The 18713-nt window shown below is 37.9% G+C and overlaps 1 protein-coding gene across 2 annotated transcripts in view; it reads right to left on the minus strand.

Annotated features, from left to right (window-relative positions):
* IMPG1 (interphotoreceptor matrix proteoglycan 1) overlaps positions 1-18713 on the minus strand; it is a 151549-nt gene that overhangs the window by 85986 nt on the left and 46850 nt on the right. For both annotated transcript variants that reach the window (NM_001282368.2, NM_001563.4), the window contains 5 exons: positions 18095-18159; positions 15017-15120; positions 11619-11759; positions 4067-4125; positions 381-401 (listed from right to left, as the gene is read on the minus strand). In NM_001282368.2, coding sequence (NP_001269297.1) covers positions 381-401; positions 4067-4125; positions 11619-11759; positions 15017-15120; positions 18095-18159 — 390 coding nt within the window. The remainder of the gene's footprint in view (positions 1-380; positions 402-4066; positions 4126-11618; positions 11760-15016; positions 15121-18094; positions 18160-18713) is intronic.

Consider the following 18713-nt stretch of genomic DNA (forward strand, 5'->3'; position numbering starts at 1 on the left):
CCAGACTTAGGTTGATTCCATGTATGTGTGTGCTTTCAGATAGACAACTGCCCATTACAAATGGCATTTAAGAAATAAATTATGCTTGCAGCACAGATAGTGTTTTTATGTTTTTCTAACTATACCTTGAGTATGATAAAATCCTGTTCAGCTGACCAAGGAAATATTTACCTGTATCCCACATAGTGACTTTGATAAGAGAATTTTTTTTTTTTTAACTACTGGACAATTGTTCAATTACTTCCATTTAAATAAGAAACCATCAAAAAGTAATGGGCTTATCCAAGACATTATATGTAAAAATTATTTGTGCAAAATCAGTATATAAATTTGGGGGAGACGGGAATGTACTATATTTCAAAACTTAAAGTCCAAATTACCCATCTTTTTCTTTCTTTGGTCTTCATTTCATCATGCACAATGGAAACATGAAAAAGAGAAAAAAATTTAATGACATTTATTGAGACATTCAATGAATTATTTTATATACAAAAGAAAAAAATATTTCTTTCCATTGTCTCTTTTGTTTGTTCAGAGCTTTGAAAGATTCATATAAACTGCCATCAGAATTTGAATGGAAACTTTGAGAGAGATATGAATCTAAGAAGTAAACATCATTATATGTTTCTGATTAGGATTTGAGCCTTAGTTCAAAGATTATCTGCACTTTTGGTCTTCTTCTTACATTCCTTAATTTCTTCATATTCCATCTAAAAAGGCTGGAAATCTATCCTACATGTTTTACATTTTGGGGGGTACTGGTGCCAGAACATTTTAAAAAAGTATTTTGTAAATGGATTTCTCAGCTCTTACTGGCATTAAATGATTAGTTTATTCCTGAAGATAATTTATCTGAGGCAAAACCGTGGAACTGGTGTTTTCTTGACAGATTATGTTTTGAATTGTTGCTATCAGTAAGCTTTGAGGGATTGATCCAATTCACCATGGGACAGCTTGCAAGAAAAACCACCACCTGTTTACTGGGTGAGTGGTCTGTACTAAACAATTTACATGCATTCTCATTTAATCTTTTCAGCAATGTAATCCCAGCTTCACAGAAAAGGGAACAGGCACATAGAAGGAAGTGTCAAATGGGAATTGCAGGGTTGAAATCCTGGCCTTCCTGACCTCAAGCCTGGCTCATTTTTCCATGCTACCACCTGCTTGTGCATGAAAAAAGACCATTTAGTCACCAAACTGATGAACACATTTTGCACTCCTTTGGACACATGTATGAATTCAGTTTAGTAGCTATGTCCAGCTTTCTCCTTTTACATTTCAAATGGTAGTTGCTGCCAAAGACACTCTACACATGTGATGGGATTGGGGTTGTTGCCCTTTCTGCCTGGACTATATTAACTAATGTAACTTTCATCCCCAGATATCATATGACTGAAATGTACATGCTACAGGCATGCCACAACCCTCCTTCTGCGGAGGCAAGGAAGAATCTAACTAGTGCTGCTGTATGGGTGAGACTTCCTTCTCTACCAACCAGACACTCATCCTCCCTCTTGCTTGTTTTCAGCAATAGTTTGTAATCCATGAGGTTCTGTAAAGAGGCCAGGCTTCCTGGGTCAAGACCCTAGTCCTTTTAATTTTTAAATAATTGTTTTGTTGAGGTATCATTGTGATAAACAAATGGGACATATTTATGGTATACGATCCAAGAATTTTGATGCCATACACCTGTCAAACCATTACCACAATCAAGATAGTGAGCATATTCATCAATCGCAAAGCTTTACTCATCCTACTGTGCGATCCTTCCCCTTCTATCCCTATGTGCCTCACCTTCCTAAGCAACTGCTGATCTGTTTCCTGTTACTATAAATCAGTTTGCATTTTCTAGAGTCTATTATAAATAAAATCATGATGTACTTTTGTTTGGCTTCTTTCACTCAACGAAGTTATTTTGAGATGCACCCATGTTGTTGTGTATTCCAATAGTTCATTTCTTTGTTGAGAAGTTGTTTATGGCAAGAATATATGACAATTTGTTGCCCTGTTGATAGACACTTGGGTTATTTCCAGGTCTTGGCTATTAAGAATAAAGAGGCTTTGAACATTTGTGCACAAGTATTTGAAGGAGTATACCCTCCAACAAGACTGCATGATTGTTAATAGTTTTCCACCTTTGCTGAGAGATAAAGCAATATTTAAAGTGGCCCTTTCATTGTTCATCTTCATAATTGTGTTAATGATACATGTCCTAACTACTTCCCAGTCACGTTGAATTCAATGAAGTCACTGATAAAAAAGTACTTGTTAAATTGTAAATCAACCTTTATACAAATGAGCTGGAGGACAGTCAGTACCAGGAGACTCACAGGGTTTTTGGTCTTCTTCAGGGATCTGGCCCACAAAAAAGCAATTTCCTTAATAACATGTTTACTTTATAATATTCTGAGCATCATTATTAATGGTTACAATTTTGCCACTGTCATGAGCACATTATTTATTGTATTCAAGGGCCAAAATATTTTATGGTGGACTAAATCTTCATGTCATCATGGAAATCACTGGGAAAATGTGATCAAACTTACTTTGTAGGCATCTTTGGCAGAAATAATAATAAATCCTTACAAAGATAAGCACTTGGTAAAAATTCAGTGTCAAGAGATATATCTTTAAAATATTTACCTTGTAAAATTTCATCATCTAACATTTTGGTTTACTTCTAAAACAGATTTTTTAAACCTTTGTTTTTCATTTATTGAAGGGAGGTGGATAATGAACATTTTAATATTCACCAAAACAACTGTTCCCATCATTTCCTTCAGCTTTAAATTAAAAATTTGTTCTTCCACTGCAGTGGTTTATTCAGAAAACCTTTGCATTTATGCAGAATATTTTTCTATCAACTTTTATTTTTCTCTAATCCATCTGATTTCACAGAAAATACTACCGAGCAGCATCTTGAAATAAAGAAAAATGAGTCTGCTTTGGTAGATATTAAGGGTTTCATCTTTTATAACTTTCACTTTTCAGTATTTCCTTTCTCTGGAGTTATACAAATCAGAGGGGCCTGATAGCTTTGAAAGAAATAAACCATGAGAGCTCCCTGCAAAGCTATTTCTTTTTCTGGGCCTGTGGAGCCCTTGCTCTGTACATCTTCTTGCTTTCAGACAGTAGGCAGTGAAGGAGCCAGAAACACTTCTGGGGGAGCCCACGCTCCCTGGTTTACAAAGCTCGTTTGGGGCAAGAAATCTCATTCTGTTCATACCAGGGCTGATATTTACCCTGTGGCACATTTTAAAAATAGCATATTATGAGTTCATCTGTAGACGTTTTGAAAAATGAGAACTTACAAAAAAAGATTTAAAAATTATTTCCCCCAATCATGAACCCACATGAGAGTGTTGGGATGCTGAAGGATACAGCCCTCCTTGTGCCAAAGATGTGGGAATATGGTTAAACCCTCTTTAGTGTGGCACTATCTTATGATCTTATTTTTTTATTTAAAATTTTAATTTAGTAATTTTTGAGTGGTAATAGATTACTATGAATCAGATGTCAAAATGACATAAAAGGTATATTTTAGAATGTCTTGCTTATGCTCCTATTCCTTTCCACCCCATTTTCCCAACTCTCCTACCTGGATAGCTATGACTTTTTATTGTTCACTTGTCTCTCTTGGGAAGCATGGTTTGTTTAAATAGTGATGTTATTTAGCATCCCATAGGAAACCAGGCAATCAGACACCTGGTTAAAAAGGTAGGCAATTAATGTCTACCTTTTTTCATCTGTCTCTACTGAGGTATTTTCCTAAGAAGCTCATTCATAACCACATGACCAAAGACAGCAGATGAGCTCTCTATAGAGAGCACTATTTCTGATTCCCAGAAGAAGGAAGGAATACAGCTCCTGTGTTACCCCTTAAGAATCACCTAGAGTCATGTTCTAATTAGACAGTTCCTTTATCTGAAACGTACTCCGTTTCCAGGATTTGGCAGAGCTAAACAACTGGGGAAAAAGGACCTTATAATCCTTATGGCATTGTTTTTACAAAAGGATAGGAAGAAAGTAATTTAAAAATTGAGAAGAGTTTGATTCTCTTACTTACCTAAATCCTAACACATGGATTTTTTTGAATCCTGGAAGTTTCTTAAATATCTTTTGCATCTGCAGAGAGAAAGAAATTTGTAAAATACTCTTTGGTTCTGCTGGGTCAGTTCTTGCCTAACTGAAAAACCTGAACACTTTTGATGAGTTAGGGGAACAGCTGAAAATGGAAAATGATTATTTTTTCTTTTAAAAAAACTCTCCAAATTGATCAGATGAAAAAGAAAAATTGAAACAACTAAGGAGGCCAAACTCTTTGTTCCTAGTGATTTCCAAAACCCAGAGGAAAGTGTTTTGCTATTTATTTAAAAGCTGTAACTGGATAGTTCTGATCTGCTCTTACGGTTACTTTAAATAAAATATAAAATAGCTTTAAGGTGGTATTTGAAGGAAACTTTTTTATTTTATTTTATTTTATTTATTTATTTTTTTAATTACACTTTAAGTTTTAGGGTACATGTGCACATTGTGCAGGTTAGTTACATATGTATACATGTGCCATGCTGGTGCGCTGCACCCACTAACTCGTCATCTAGCATTAGGTATATCTCCCAATGCTATCCCTCCCCCCTCCCCCCTCCCCACCACAGTCCCCAGAGTGTGATATTCCCCTTCCTGTGTCCATGTGATCTCATTGTTCAATTCCCACCTATGAGTGAGAATATGCGGTGTTTGGTTTTTTGTTCTTGCGATAGTTTACTGAGAATGATGGTTTCCAATTTCATCCATGTCCCTACAAAGGACATGAAAACTTTTTTGTCTACAGGAGTTTTACTTATACACATAGGGTAATATTTTCTGACTATAATTATAACTAGAGTTAGCTATAATATTTTAGCTATGATATTTTCTGAATTAATGATATGGTTTGGAAATTATCTATAATGTGAAAGGGATGATTACATTCAAAATGGCTGCTGTACTTAAAGTGGTAGAAATAGATTCTAATCTAATAGATTAGATTTACTCTTAGATTCATATGGACTTCACAATAAATTTTCTTAATTAATTTGACCTTACTAATGAGGCCTGTTATAATATTTTATAATTGCTGTACTAACTAATCCTTAAGCTACTACAGCCTGGCCATTCTCTCCAGGCCACTGTCTCTCCAGCTCTCTCTAAATCCAGTGGCAATTTCTGTTCCCCCTCTACAGTGTCCCTGCTCTTTCCTGGTTCTTCTTCCACCTCTCTGACCACTCTCTCCATCTTCATTGCTCCACCCTATTTCTGTATTTACTTTCTACTTAAACATAAGGAGCCTTCGAGTTTCCATCTTCAGCCTCCTGCTTCACTCAGTCACTCTCTCTTTTCTTCTGGAAGCTCGACTGTAGATGCTGTGCTAGGCTCTGGGGACACCGTCACATGGACAAGTACTGCCCCATCCAGCTTTCCTGTTGGAGACTGGGAGGCAAGAGAGACTGAGGAAGGGATAGTGGTTGAGTAGTGAAGCTTGGGAGAGAGAGCAGGGTGAAAGGTGAAACTGAACAGGTGAGCAGACACCCATCCCTTTCCTCTCTTCCCTGTCCCCTCTCTCCTATCCTTGTCCCCGGGGGATATCATTTTCTCCCATGGCTTAATTGATCAGTGATACGCAGCCTTGAGTTCTCCACATAAATATCCCAACATTTGCCACTAAATGAATCTGCCCAAACCAGAGCCATTCTCTTCTTCCCAAGTCTGCCTTTGTCCTCAGCCTCTCTGCCTCAGACAGGGTCATGAACCCCGACTGTCTTCCATTCTAGAAAGCGCAGCATCCCTAGATACCTTCCCTCCCACCCCCCACATGCAGCCACCGACTCTGGTTGGTTTGAATTCCACAAGGTCTTTTGTTTTCACCATGTTCTCATTCACAGGTCTGGCATACCCTCCCTATCCCTACTCCTGCACTGCTGAAATGGGTTTATGTGTGTGAGTGGGCAGAGAAGAAATGGTTTTCTGGGTGTGTTGGGAGAGGAGGAAGGAGAAGGTATCTCCTTGACTACATTTATTCTGAAGTTAATCTTTTTACTAAGAATCTGTACTAACAGTTCATTGCTGGACCCATTGAACAAGATCCAACTGTTTAGAATGGCATTTAAGACCCTCCAGAATCTGCACCCCACCCCCAGGTACCTTACCATTCACTTCCTGCCATCATTATCCCCTTGGCCAATATCTTGTCCTTTACTGACACTAAACTGACCCCTGTTCCTTCCCACATACAATATACACTTCTATGTCTTCAAGTTCCTATGAATTATTTTCTCTTCAATTTTTCCACCTTCTGCTTATTAACTTTCCCTCCTCCCCACACTGCACCCATTTTCAAAGCCAGCTCAGACATCTTCTGTACTGAAAAGCATTTGTAGAGCCCCAAAGTCAGGTTCAATTATTTCTTCTCTCTACTACTCTAGAGTTTATTGCAGTATACCCCATAAAAGTCTGTGAGGTACATGTCAGTTTCCCTCACCGAGATCATGCTCCTTGGCCATGTCCTGTTTATTCATTTTTCTTTACCTCCCTCATTCCATCTAGCAGATTGTCATACACATAGTAGGGACCCAGCACATTTTGTTTAATTCAGTTGAGTGCATCTCTTCATTCTCTAAATTCACTACCATTCCACTGTGTTGTCACCACATCAAAAATTACTGCCAACTTTACATTGTTCGTGTGAAGGACTAGAGCAGTGATACACAGATAATCCCCAAATCACTTACACTGGGCTTTAGACTGCATTACAAATTTTTTCCCCCAGCAGACTGATTTACCTTCTAATTATATACATATTTTTTGTGACAATATTAAAAGCAGTTTCATTCCCTGAACATAAGAGGAATCACAGTGATGAAGGTAGCTCAGCTTTTGGGTGATCCGGAGCTCTTTGTACGGGATGGGGTTTAAATATTGGTTCTGCTACTTTCTAGCTGCAAGATCCTGAGTTTATTGCTTAATCTCTCTGAATCTTGGTCTCCTTACCCAAAAAGGAATAACAATGACAACTAATAAGTAACAAGTGCCTGGTACACAGCTGGGCAGTTAGTGATTTGTATTATTTACTTTCTTATTCTCTACTTCTCCTGCTGGATTGCCAGCTCCTGAGAGCCCATTTTTCTCTTACTCCCCCAAGTGAGCACACGGCATGGAGCCTGGAAAGAGCAGAGCAAGTCTTTAGTTAGTCATTTTTGAAACTCAGAGGGAGGAAGGACAGGATGAGGGTCCCTGTAGAGGTCAGGGGCAGAAGGCCTGGGGAGCGAGTTTCTGTGTCTCCACCCACACCCTGCCATGGGCTCAACAGAAATCTAGGAGGTTGGGTTCTGCAAAGCTAGTCTTTATTCTGAGGGCAGGCAGGAAGGTCTGTGTACATGCTTCACATCTGCTGTGGCTTCCTAGGACAAACAGCTTTGGGGCCACAGGGAATTTGCCATGCTATTTCAGTAACAGCTCCAGGGATTTAACATTTAAACATGAGCTGCAGTTTCTGGAGCAGCAGATTCAGATCCTGAATCATCCATTTTTCTTCTCCAGGATACCAGAGATGCTGTTATATACATGAAAACAGTCAATCGACCCTGGGACTGGCATTGTAGATGCCTGCAGCTGCAGCATCAGCAACAGGGAGCACTGCGGGGGAGAGCCCTCCTCCTCTCCAGGAGGGCTCCATGGCATTGGCTTGGGTGGAAGGGATTTATTGTTTATGTCCATGCCCTCTTTGTGAACCTATCTGGGATTGATTAAGAGTCAGCTTTGTTTAGGAGTGTGAGGAAGGCATCTAGGGAGGATATGACAAAAGCCTCAGTTAATTCTGCTAAATAATCTTCTGGGGACCTTCTAGTCATGGAGCACTAACCACTAAATTGCTAATTAAGTGCCCAGTTAACCTTATTAATAATACTAAATGCACAGGGGCCTCCCTGATTCTGCTGGAATGTATGTTAACTGGGCTATAAAAAGGCAGCTGTGTTGAGTTTTCATGAAGGTTTGCACAGGAGAAAGCATTCAGACAACAACTAAATGATTCCTTTTGACATTTGTATTAAATTGCTCATTAGGTTTATTGTGGAAATTAAATTACTGCGAAGCACTGTCCATTAATTCCTGATTAGGCCTGAATGTGCTAATGCAGGCATTGGGCTGTGGTGGGGCTGATTAGTTATCTGATGGCAGGCTGTGAGGTGGTTGGGGCCCTGCTAGGGAGCCTGGGGAGGGAACAGATGTTGTAAGCAGAGGGGTTCAATCTTAGAGAAATCAGTGACGACTGTGCAAATGGAACCAGCAGCACTGACGCCAGGGGTCTCTGGAACAAGATTGGGCAGGATGTACTCTTCTTTGGCTTATAAGTTTTTCAGAGGCTAGCAAGACATGCCCATTTGGCTGGGTGCGGTAGCTCACGCCTGTAATCCCAGCACTTTGGGAGTCCGAGGAGGGTGGATCACCTGAGGTCAGGAGTTCGAGACCAGCTTGATCAACACGGTGAACTCCTGTCTCTACTAAAAATACAAAATTAGCCAGCCTTGGTGGTGCCTGCCTGTAATTTCAACTACTTGGGAGGCTGAGGCAGGAGAATCGCTTGAACCTAGGAGGCGGAGGTTGCAGTGAGCTGAGATGGCACCATTGCACTCCAGCCTGGGCAACAAGAGTTAAACTCTGTCTCAAAAAAAAAAAAAAAAAAAAAAAAGAAAGAAAAAGACAAAAGACATGCCCATTTGATGATGATACAATAGTCCCTTCCCACAAACATTTATCTGGGAAAAATAGGAGGCATGACATGGTGGTTAAGAGCAAGAGTTCTGGTGCCAGGCTGCCTGGGTTGGAATCTTGGCTTTGCCAGACAATAAAAGTGGCACCGTTGGACATATTAATCTCCTTTCCTCAGTTACCTCTTACAAAAAGAGGAAATAATATTACTCACTTACAGAATTGCATGAAAAATTAAATGAGTTAGTACATATAAAGCATTAAGAAAAGTGTTAGCTATTATGTCTATACACAGCAGTTTAGACTTGGAAAGGAACTCTGAGGTCATCTTCTACAATTTCTAAGCAAGGAAGTTAGGCCAGGGATCTCCAATTTCTCAGAGCTAATTTTTGGCAAAAACAGGACTAGAACTCTGATTTTTTAAAAATCCCAATATATTTGCATTATTCTACATCAGATTGTTGTAAGTGTTTAGAAAATTGACAATAGATCATCAAAAAGTCTATGGCCAATTATCCTACTTTGAAGATACTCTGACTATACTAAGGAATTGCCAAAAAGAATGTTCCAAAGAACAAATGGAAATGTTAACAAACTATTCTTTAATTCATTTGGTCTAATAATCCATGTCTGAGTAGTTTTCTGGTTCATAAATGCCCCATGCTGATTCTTTTACTTTGACATTTATAGAAATAATTCTTTACATTTTATTGGCTGAATGCTGATGCAGAGAGAGGCTGGAGGTTAAGAATGTTTCACTTATTCATCTCCTCTCAGGGTGAGAAGAGGTACGTATTGAATTCTCCAAGTATGAGAAGGGGGCCTGTTTGTTCCCTGGCCATGCTGAGTAAGATTCGTGTGCACTCCTGTTGTCCACATTGTAGTTCTTGGTTACGTAATCTCATGGATGCTTCTATTTTCAGTTGCATTTATACAAACAATTACTGAGTAGTTAACTGCATCCCAAACTCTGTATTAGAAGGTTAGGCATCAGAGATTAAAAGAACAGCTCCTGTTCTCTAGGAGAAGCTCATAGCCTGGTGGTGATGAGTGGGGTGAATGAAGAGGAAGGAGTAGAGATAGCAAAGGCCATAGACACATAAGCAAGCAGTCTCAAGAAAGGGTGTTGTGAAAGCAATGAGTGAGCCCAGGAGAGACACTGGATGCAGAATGGATAGAGGGAACTTTCCATGTTGAAGTATGTAAAACAAGACTTGGAGAAGGGCATTCTAGACAGAGCAGACAGCACATGTAAAGGCTAAATGGGGGGACAAATTGGAAATAGTTTGCATTCCTGGAAACTAGAGTGAAAAGGAGGGGGATGATAAGGAACTGGTATATGGTGAGGCTCAAAAAAAAAAAAAAAGGCAGAGATCTTATTATGGTATATAGATGCCACACTCAGCATAGTAGCTGGATTTATCCTGCAGGGAATTGAAGAGATTTGAATTTAATTAGAGACAGACAGATATAACAAAGGTCAGAGATGGAAGAGACATCTTGGGAAAGCTCCTCAGTTTATTAATTGATGACATGGACAATATAATTGCCTTCCTCTTATCACCCATGAAAAATATTGTGTCTTTAAATTGCATCAAACTGTAAAAATAGAAATATTATATAAAGACAAAGTATTATGAATTAATAATTTATACTTTAACCCAGCATCTTCTCTACTTGGTGCCTACATAGTCATTTTGTTTTATTTAAATCTACTTTATTGAGGTATAATTGACATATCAAAAGCTGTACATATTTAATATATACATCTTGATGAATTTGTCTATAAGTATATACCAGTGAAACCATCACCATAATGGTCATCTAGGCATAGAGCAGCTGCATAATGTCTTTCAGTTCAATGAGATTTTAAAACCTACTAATTTTTATTTATTTATTTATTTTACATTTGTTTACTTATCTTTTGAGACAGAGTTTCACTCTTTCACCCAGGCTGGAGTGAAGTGGCACGATCTTGGCTCACTGCCACCTCTGCCCCCCGGGTTCAAGCGGTTCTCCTGCCTCAGCCTCCCGAGTAGCTGGGATTACAGGCGCCCACCACCACACCCAGCTAATTTTTGTATTTTTAGTAGAGACGGGATTTTGCCATGTTGGCCAGGCTGGTATCGAATTCCTGATCCACCCGCCTCAGCCTCCCAAAGTGCTAGGATTACAGGCATGAGCCACCGCGGTTGGCAAAACCTACTAATTTTTGAAGAAAGATAAATGTAAACACAGTGGTCCCTTTTTATCCTTGGTGGAGGGTATATTCCAAGACCCTATGGATGCCTGAAATTGTGGAGAGTACCTAATCCCATATATACTACATTTTTTTTCCATACACACATACCTATGATAAAGTTTAATTTATAAATTAGGCACAGCAAAGGATTTACAACAATAACTAATAATGAAATAGAACAATTGTAACAATACACTACAAGAAAAGTTATGTGAATGTGGTCTCTCTCTCTCAATATAATGCCTATGTGATGAGACGAAGTAAGGTAAATGGTATAGAAGTTGTGACATATGTTAGGCTACTATTGACCTTCTTAATGAATTGTTTATTTCTGGAATTTTCAATTTAATATTTTTGGACTATGGTTGACAGGGTAACCGAAACTGTGGATAGAGGGGGCAGGTGGGGACCACTGCAAGTTTTGAGAATAGAAAGGCTGGAATGAAAAACTTTCCTGGAGATCCATTTGTTCTAACATGTTAGGGCCCATTGTAATTTTGGTTTTCTTTTAAATGGTTAAACATGAATGCCAGGAGAAGCTGGAACTGTTCGCCGTAAGGGTTTATGTCCTATCGGCTCCCACCTCTCAGTCACAGCTTGAGGTGTGGTTGTATGGGCCGGGTCTACTCACCTGAAGTTGGGACTTTCCTGCTAGCTCCTGGTAATATGGGGACTGGGAGTCAGCGAGCTCTGCCTTGAACTTCTGGTTTACCAGAGAGACGCTGAGCTCCACCCTCTGCTCCTCCAACACAGCGAATTCTGTTTCTCTTTCCTGAGTTTAAAAAAAAAAAAAAGGACTTCTGTTAACCTAAACCACAAATAAATGGTTATTTTAGATAATATATGTTGATACTGTCTCAAGAAGTGGATTATGAAGGCTTAAGTGTTTTGCAATCAAAATCCTTTTAACTAGAACTTAGAGAAGAGCCTAGACTGGTTTAATGAGAAAATTTGTGCTTAAATTTCACATTGAAACTAGTTAGAAAATACTATCAAGCCAAGAGAAAGTTTGAAATTTCTCTCAGAAGGAATGATGTATTTGGGCCACCTTTGGAAGCAGGTGGCTAAGAACGGAGGCATGGTTCTGAGGATCTGGACTTGGTCTCCATCACTAAGGGCCAAGAGGTCATCCTTCTTGCCTGTTGGTCTGGAAACCAGCAGGGGTTTCTCATTGCTCTGAATTCATATGGGCTTCCAGGACACAGAGCAAGCCCAGAGCTCAGTTTCAAACTTGGGTTTGACAGAGTTTTCAACCTTGGATACCCAGAAGATACTAAGGCCCATTAGTTTTCTTAAAAAAGTAAAATTATCTCTGCGGAAAATTGAATATCTCTGGTTACGTACATGGTCTCTTATAGTGAAATCAGAGTTACAGAAGCTGAAAGAAGAGAACAGTTAATGGAAATTGCCCTGAGGGACAGAGCTCAACTGGATAAATGGTAGCATATGTATTTCCTCCTCATTTCTTGTCACAAACTCCCCTCCACCATGGGCATGGACAATACTACAGCCTCTCTCTAACTTTAGTAGGACACAAGGAGGATGTGGATTCACATTTAAAAGACTTCTGATGTTTGTTTAAAAGACTTTCATTCATTCAAAAAAACACACATTGAGCATCTGTATGGGTGTAGCATGGTGCTAGGATCAATGGGACACTGAAAAGTCTGACATGCAGTATTCTTTAGAAGTATTCCATTTTGTTAGGCAAATTGGAAGTTTCATGGAACATTTAAATGACTGTGAAATGAAATATTCTGGGGATATTTAACCAGAGAGAAGAACTTATATTAGCTTTTGAAGAAGATGGGACAGAGGGGTTGTGAGAAAAGAGATGAGAGATGAGTTGTCTTAGAAATTTTATAGTGAATATATACTGAATTATGGTCAACAATTTTTTCCAACAGTACTTTTCACTGTTGAGGGAAGAACATTTTTCAGAAAAATACAATATTTTATTTATTTCTTTTATTTATTTATTTTTTTGACACAGAGTCTCACTCTGTCACCCAGGCTGGAGTGCAATGGCGATCACAACTCACTGCAGCCTCAACCTCCCGGGCTCAAGCAATCCTCCCTCCTCAGCCTCTCAAGTAGCTGGGACTACAGGCATGGACCACCATGCCCAGGTAATTTTTAAATTTTTTGTGAAGATGGGGTCTCCCAGTCTCGCCTAGGCTGATCTTGAGCTCCTGGGCTCAAGTGATCCTCCTATGTTGGTCTCCCAAGGTGCTGGGATTACAGGCATGAGCCACCATGCCTGGCCGAAATACAATATTTTCATTCTTTATTCATGCCAGCAGTTCAACCAAAACTGGAACCATGTGGCCTAATGGGCAGATAGGATGGCCAGCAAGGTCTAATCTCTGATTTATCTTGTAGAGCTGGTGAGGCTGAACTTTGTGCCTTTGCCCTGAAGCTTTGACCTGTGCCTTGGAGAGAGGTTGTAATGAAGGGGAAAGGGTTAGAGGAGTCACCTCTCAGGCCCCAGGGGTGGTAGGTCTGGTGGTAGTGGCAGTGTGAGATGCCAGGTTCTAGTCTGCCACTCCTTATACTACTGCCTCCTTTGGGGCCTACTGCCTACTTTGTGCAGCCAAAGCTCTACACACATGGCTAATGAGTGAGGACTAAGCTCTGAGTTTTTCTTATCTTGCCCAAATTCCTATCTAAGGGGTTTGGGGAGTCATGCCCTACAAACCATAAATTCTCATCAGATGGGTTTTATTTAACCCTATATATATAGTGTGACTTACTTTCCAATCTGACTCTGGCATAACATTATGTGACAAAGAAGAAAATCAACTTGTTTTTACTCCAAAACATGTCTCTTTGCCATATTTTGAAATGGCCATGCAAAGTCATCCTTTGTGGGTAAAAATTTGCATCTGTAAAGAATCTCTATTAACATAGCTAGATCATTTTCTTTCAGGCCCTCCAAATCCTGAAGAGAATAACTGAGAGTCTAGCACATTTTAAAGGTCTGAATAGGGAACACTTGTCATCTATTGTCTCTAAGGGCAGCCACTATGAAACTTCAAAAGAACCTTGGTCTACACAACCTTTTATCTTAACCGGAACATTTCCTTTCTATTGATCCCAGGTCTTTAGACAAACTGAACCAATTGTCAACCAGAAAATGTTTAAATTTACCTATAGCCTGGAAGCCCTCCCCACTTCAAATTGTCTCGCCTTTCTGTACCAAACCAATGTACTTCTGAAATGTATTTAATTGATGTCTCATGCCTCCCTAAAACGTATGAAACCAAGCTTCACCCTGACAACCTTGGACACATGCTCTCAGTACTTCCTGAGGGCTGTATCATGGACCATGGTCACTCATATTTGGCTCAGAATAAATCTCTTCAAATATTTTACAGAGTTCGACAATTTGTCGACAATGAGGACAGTGTTTCCCTTCTTCCACAATTAAATTCTGTAACCATCCTCTCATCCCACATACCTTCACACTCAGAGTGGTGGCCAGTGCTCCTCTTTGCCTTAGAACACTGTGTTTATTTTTCCCTAGTTTTACACACAGGATTTTGATCATTTTGATATCTATTTGACCTATTCATCCCGGACATAACTGAGAACAAAACCTTCACTCTTGTTGTCAATGTGGAATTATACTTCAGTGGTGAAAGAGCTTCATGATTGATTGATTGATTCATTCATTCTAACACTTGGAGAGCATATATATATATATATATATATATGGTTTTGTTATATATATATATAAGGTTTTGTTAGGTGCTGGGGAAAAAGAGCCCCAGCACTCCACAGCTTATAATTAAATTGTTTCTTGTAACTCCTCCCCTTTTATTCTAGGTCTTAATCTATGCTTCCCCCCTCAGTACCTAGGAAGAAGTGAGAATAAAGAATAGAACAAAGTCACTGACTCTTAACCAGAGTCACAAAAATACAGCACTAATATTATTTAAAGGATGGTTTATCCATTCTCTTTTCCTGTTTTGCTAAAGAACAAAAACAGGCACATGAAGAGCTAGATCAACTCTAGGAACTTCTTACTGTTGTAGGCATCTTGGTGTCGTTGAGTGTATTATCGAGAATTTCATTGAGGAGGGTGTCATCAGGAGTGAGAGGGAAAGGCCCAAGTGAGACGTTGGCAACATCTGTGAAAATTTTAAAAATTAAAGACACAAAAATGAGAATGGAGGAGTTTAAATTAGAACGAGGTCAAAATTCAATATGCTTTTTCTGTCATTCTGGAATTTACAGATATTAGGTGCCTTCTGAACTCATCTTTTTAAGATCACGTAAATATGTTCTTGAAAAAATATGACTCATACTCTGTCCTAAATTCTTCATTCTTTCTCTTAAGGACCCAAATTTGGTGCTTCCCTGTATGTGTTATACTTAAATGCTTTTGCCAGATGAGACCTGATTAATTTTTTCTTAATGACACTATATAAAGGACACATAGGCAGATGTTTACCTTGAATTTGCTCTTCTGAGGGTTTTCTTAGAATACTGCCCAAGTCTTTAAAATGTAGATTGCTTAAGCAATCATTGAGGAATAAGATTTTAATCAGAAAATCCAAGAGATGAAAGAACATTTAAGATGCTATGAATTTCACTTCTTTTAGAACAGATCACCATAAACCATTTCAAATATGTGGCAAATGTTTTGATATTTTTAAAGATCTTCATAGAGTGCAAGTCTGGGTTCTATTCAAGCAAAGAAAAAAGCGTTATTATAATACAAATGCATTTCTATTTTGTAATAAATTATTATTTAAAAAAATGCTCAGAGAAAATAGTGTTATAGTTAATTGGTTTATATTTAGCCAGAAACAACTTTCCATTTCAACCTTAATTAGGCAAAAACATAGAATGCCTTAGTTTATTCTTGTGTTTTAGAAAACAAGATATACTGAAAAATGATTCAATCTTTCCTTACTCCCTGAAGAGTATGTGGTACCTGGGAATCTGCGGTCACAAGTGGTTACTTGTCACTGTGAGGCTCTGTGAAGTAATTGCCCTGGGTGTGGAATTGTGCTTCCTAGTGGGGGCGTGAGAGTGGGTATCAGAATCATCTAGGCAAGGCAGTTTTTTGGCTAATAAAGTACATACCCTGTGGCATATCAGAACCTCAAAGGATGTGGTCCCTGGCATCTTCCCCTTCTGCCCTCATTGAAGAATCCTGCTGTGAGCAATTGGGATGGAGGTGTTCTGTGCTCTGGACTTCATCAGACTATTACCAATGTAAGGCACCTTCAAACTTTGTAATTCTATGAATAATCGGTTTATGCTACAATTTTTGTTACAATAAAAAAGTACTTAGCTGGTACCCTAGAAGAACAAATTTTTATTTGGCTATCCTTCCATTTTATTGCCTTGAAAAGATAAATTATTCACATACTTACACCTAAAAACAATTATTAGGTAGCCTGGGTTTGTCTTCGAGCACATTCAGCCTCTTTTGGAGATTTCTCACTCTTCCTTCACACCTAGGCACCTAGTAACATTTCCCAATCAAAATCTAATCTTAACTGTTCTGTGTGTATACTTCAACTGGAGGTGTCCAGAAGTACTGGGGAAATAATTCTAAAACATTTGTTGCTAGAACTTAAATATATGGTGATGATATATCATATTATATTATAATATATGAATTGTCCACTGATCCCTCAAAGTTTTTATTTAAAAAAATGAAAAATAATTTATAAGAAAGGGGTCATATTAACTTACTCTAACTTACTAAATCTAATCTTGTTATTACAAAAGTTTCTATCAGCTAAAGTACATTACCTTCAAGTTTAAAGTAGAAATACAAATTTCAATTCTCTTATTAATTTTGTTTTCCCATATTAAAATGAAGTCAGTACAAAACGTCTTTTTACATGTTTATATGCTCCTCCTCTAAATAATACCTTTTTGAATAAGACTTGATATTAGGTGTCACAGGTCAAATTTGAGCTGTTTATATGGGGGAATTAACTATGTAGCTCTTCTTTTTATTGTTAAAAATGCATTTTACTGTCATTTTATAATTAAAATTCAACTAGGCTTGTCCTATTATTAGCTACAAGTCAGTCCAGAAATGATAAATTAGCTGAACTTAGGAGAAAATTGAAATATAGGCACAGCCGGCTTTCTCTGAATGTCAGTAAAGGAAGAAATGGGAAAGTAATATCATTTATTTACAAATATCTATTTTCTCAATTTCTACATTTTAAGTCATGAAAAATTAATTTCTTAAAACATTATTCACATTACCAAAAATCAAATGAACTGGGGAACACATTGCCCAGAGAATAGTTTTATTGTGTATATTTAAAAGTATTCTTTTATGTGAAAATGGGAAGACTGCAATAGAAATATACATGAAAGAGAAATTTCAAACATCTAATAAACACAGGAGAAATGATTTTCCTCTGCCTTTTGGCAAACTCTAGAATAAATAGTAATATTCAATATTGATAAGTGCTGCAATGAGACAGGTTCTTGTCTTTTCTGCCAGTGGGATATTTAAATTGTAACAAAATTTCTGGAAAAAAAATTTGGCAAAATTTATTAAAAGCCTTAAAATCCATAGTGTTTGACTTAGTAATCTATTTTGAGAAATTAGTGATTTGACAAAGATTTATGTTTAAATATCTTAATTAAAACACTATTTGTAATGTCAGATACAATGATGCAATGGTTAAGTTGATGACATCCATATGGATGCAACAGAATGTTGCAAGTCATTAAAATGATAACTTTGAAGAAATTTTAGTGAACTATAAAATATCCTTTACATCAGGTTAAGTGGAAAAAATGATACAAACTCTAAGTAAATATGGTCTCAGTAATATGTGTATATAATAGAAGAAAGAAGGCAGAAAATAGGCAGTAAATGTTCATGATGGTTGTTTCCAAACTGTAAGATATTGAATGGTTTGGTTTTACCTTTATTCTTTTCTGTATTTTCCAAGTTGTATGCAATAAATTTAAATTATGTTATAAAGTTAGAAATATAAGCTAGTTTTGAGAAAGTACATTATAAACATTATCTTTAATTAGGAATTGTTTTATAAATAACATGCTATCATGATGATTTGAATGAAAGTTGAGAAGCAAAGAAATTAGATCTAAGCTTACCTGTTGAAATGACAATGGTTTCACCAGGCTCTCCCAATGTCTTCTCTGCAGATATTTCATCTTTTCTATTAGTACAATAGAAAAGAAGGAAGAGGTGGTGAAAGAGAACTTGATGACAGTAGAGAACATACATTTAAATTTCTTATACTGAGTAAACCTAAAAGTTATAGGAAAAGCATACTTTAAAACTAGATTGACCTATTTTTAAACTACAGAAGTAATATTTGAATATATTCTCATTGAGGAAAAATGCAAAAAACTCTCCAAAATGGTTATGTTTGACTCCAGTGTTTTCCGTAAGCATCCTTTTTTTTGTGGTCCTGGGGTTCTGTGGTAGGCAAAGCTGGTCTTTGGGGTCTAATGTTGTAGTTCCATTCCACTTACACTGTGTTCTTGACATCAGAGATAATTGATGACATGATCTGTGACTGAAATATTCTTGCTAAAATCTCAGACCCTCAAGCCTGCATATCCAGAGTCATTAAGCTTATCTAATAAAGTAACTCTTGTGGTTACAGTAATGGGAAAGAGATAGATTTCTGGGTAATATAAATTTACTAAATCTGTATTCTGGGCACAGCCACTGTCTGTAATGGTAACTAGCCAGGAAGTTGGGGGT

Source organism: Homo sapiens, chromosome 6 (assembly GCF_000001405.40).
Source record: "Homo sapiens chromosome 6, GRCh38.p14 Primary Assembly".
Classification (NCBI taxonomy): domain Eukaryota; kingdom Metazoa; phylum Chordata; class Mammalia; order Primates; family Hominidae; genus Homo; species Homo sapiens.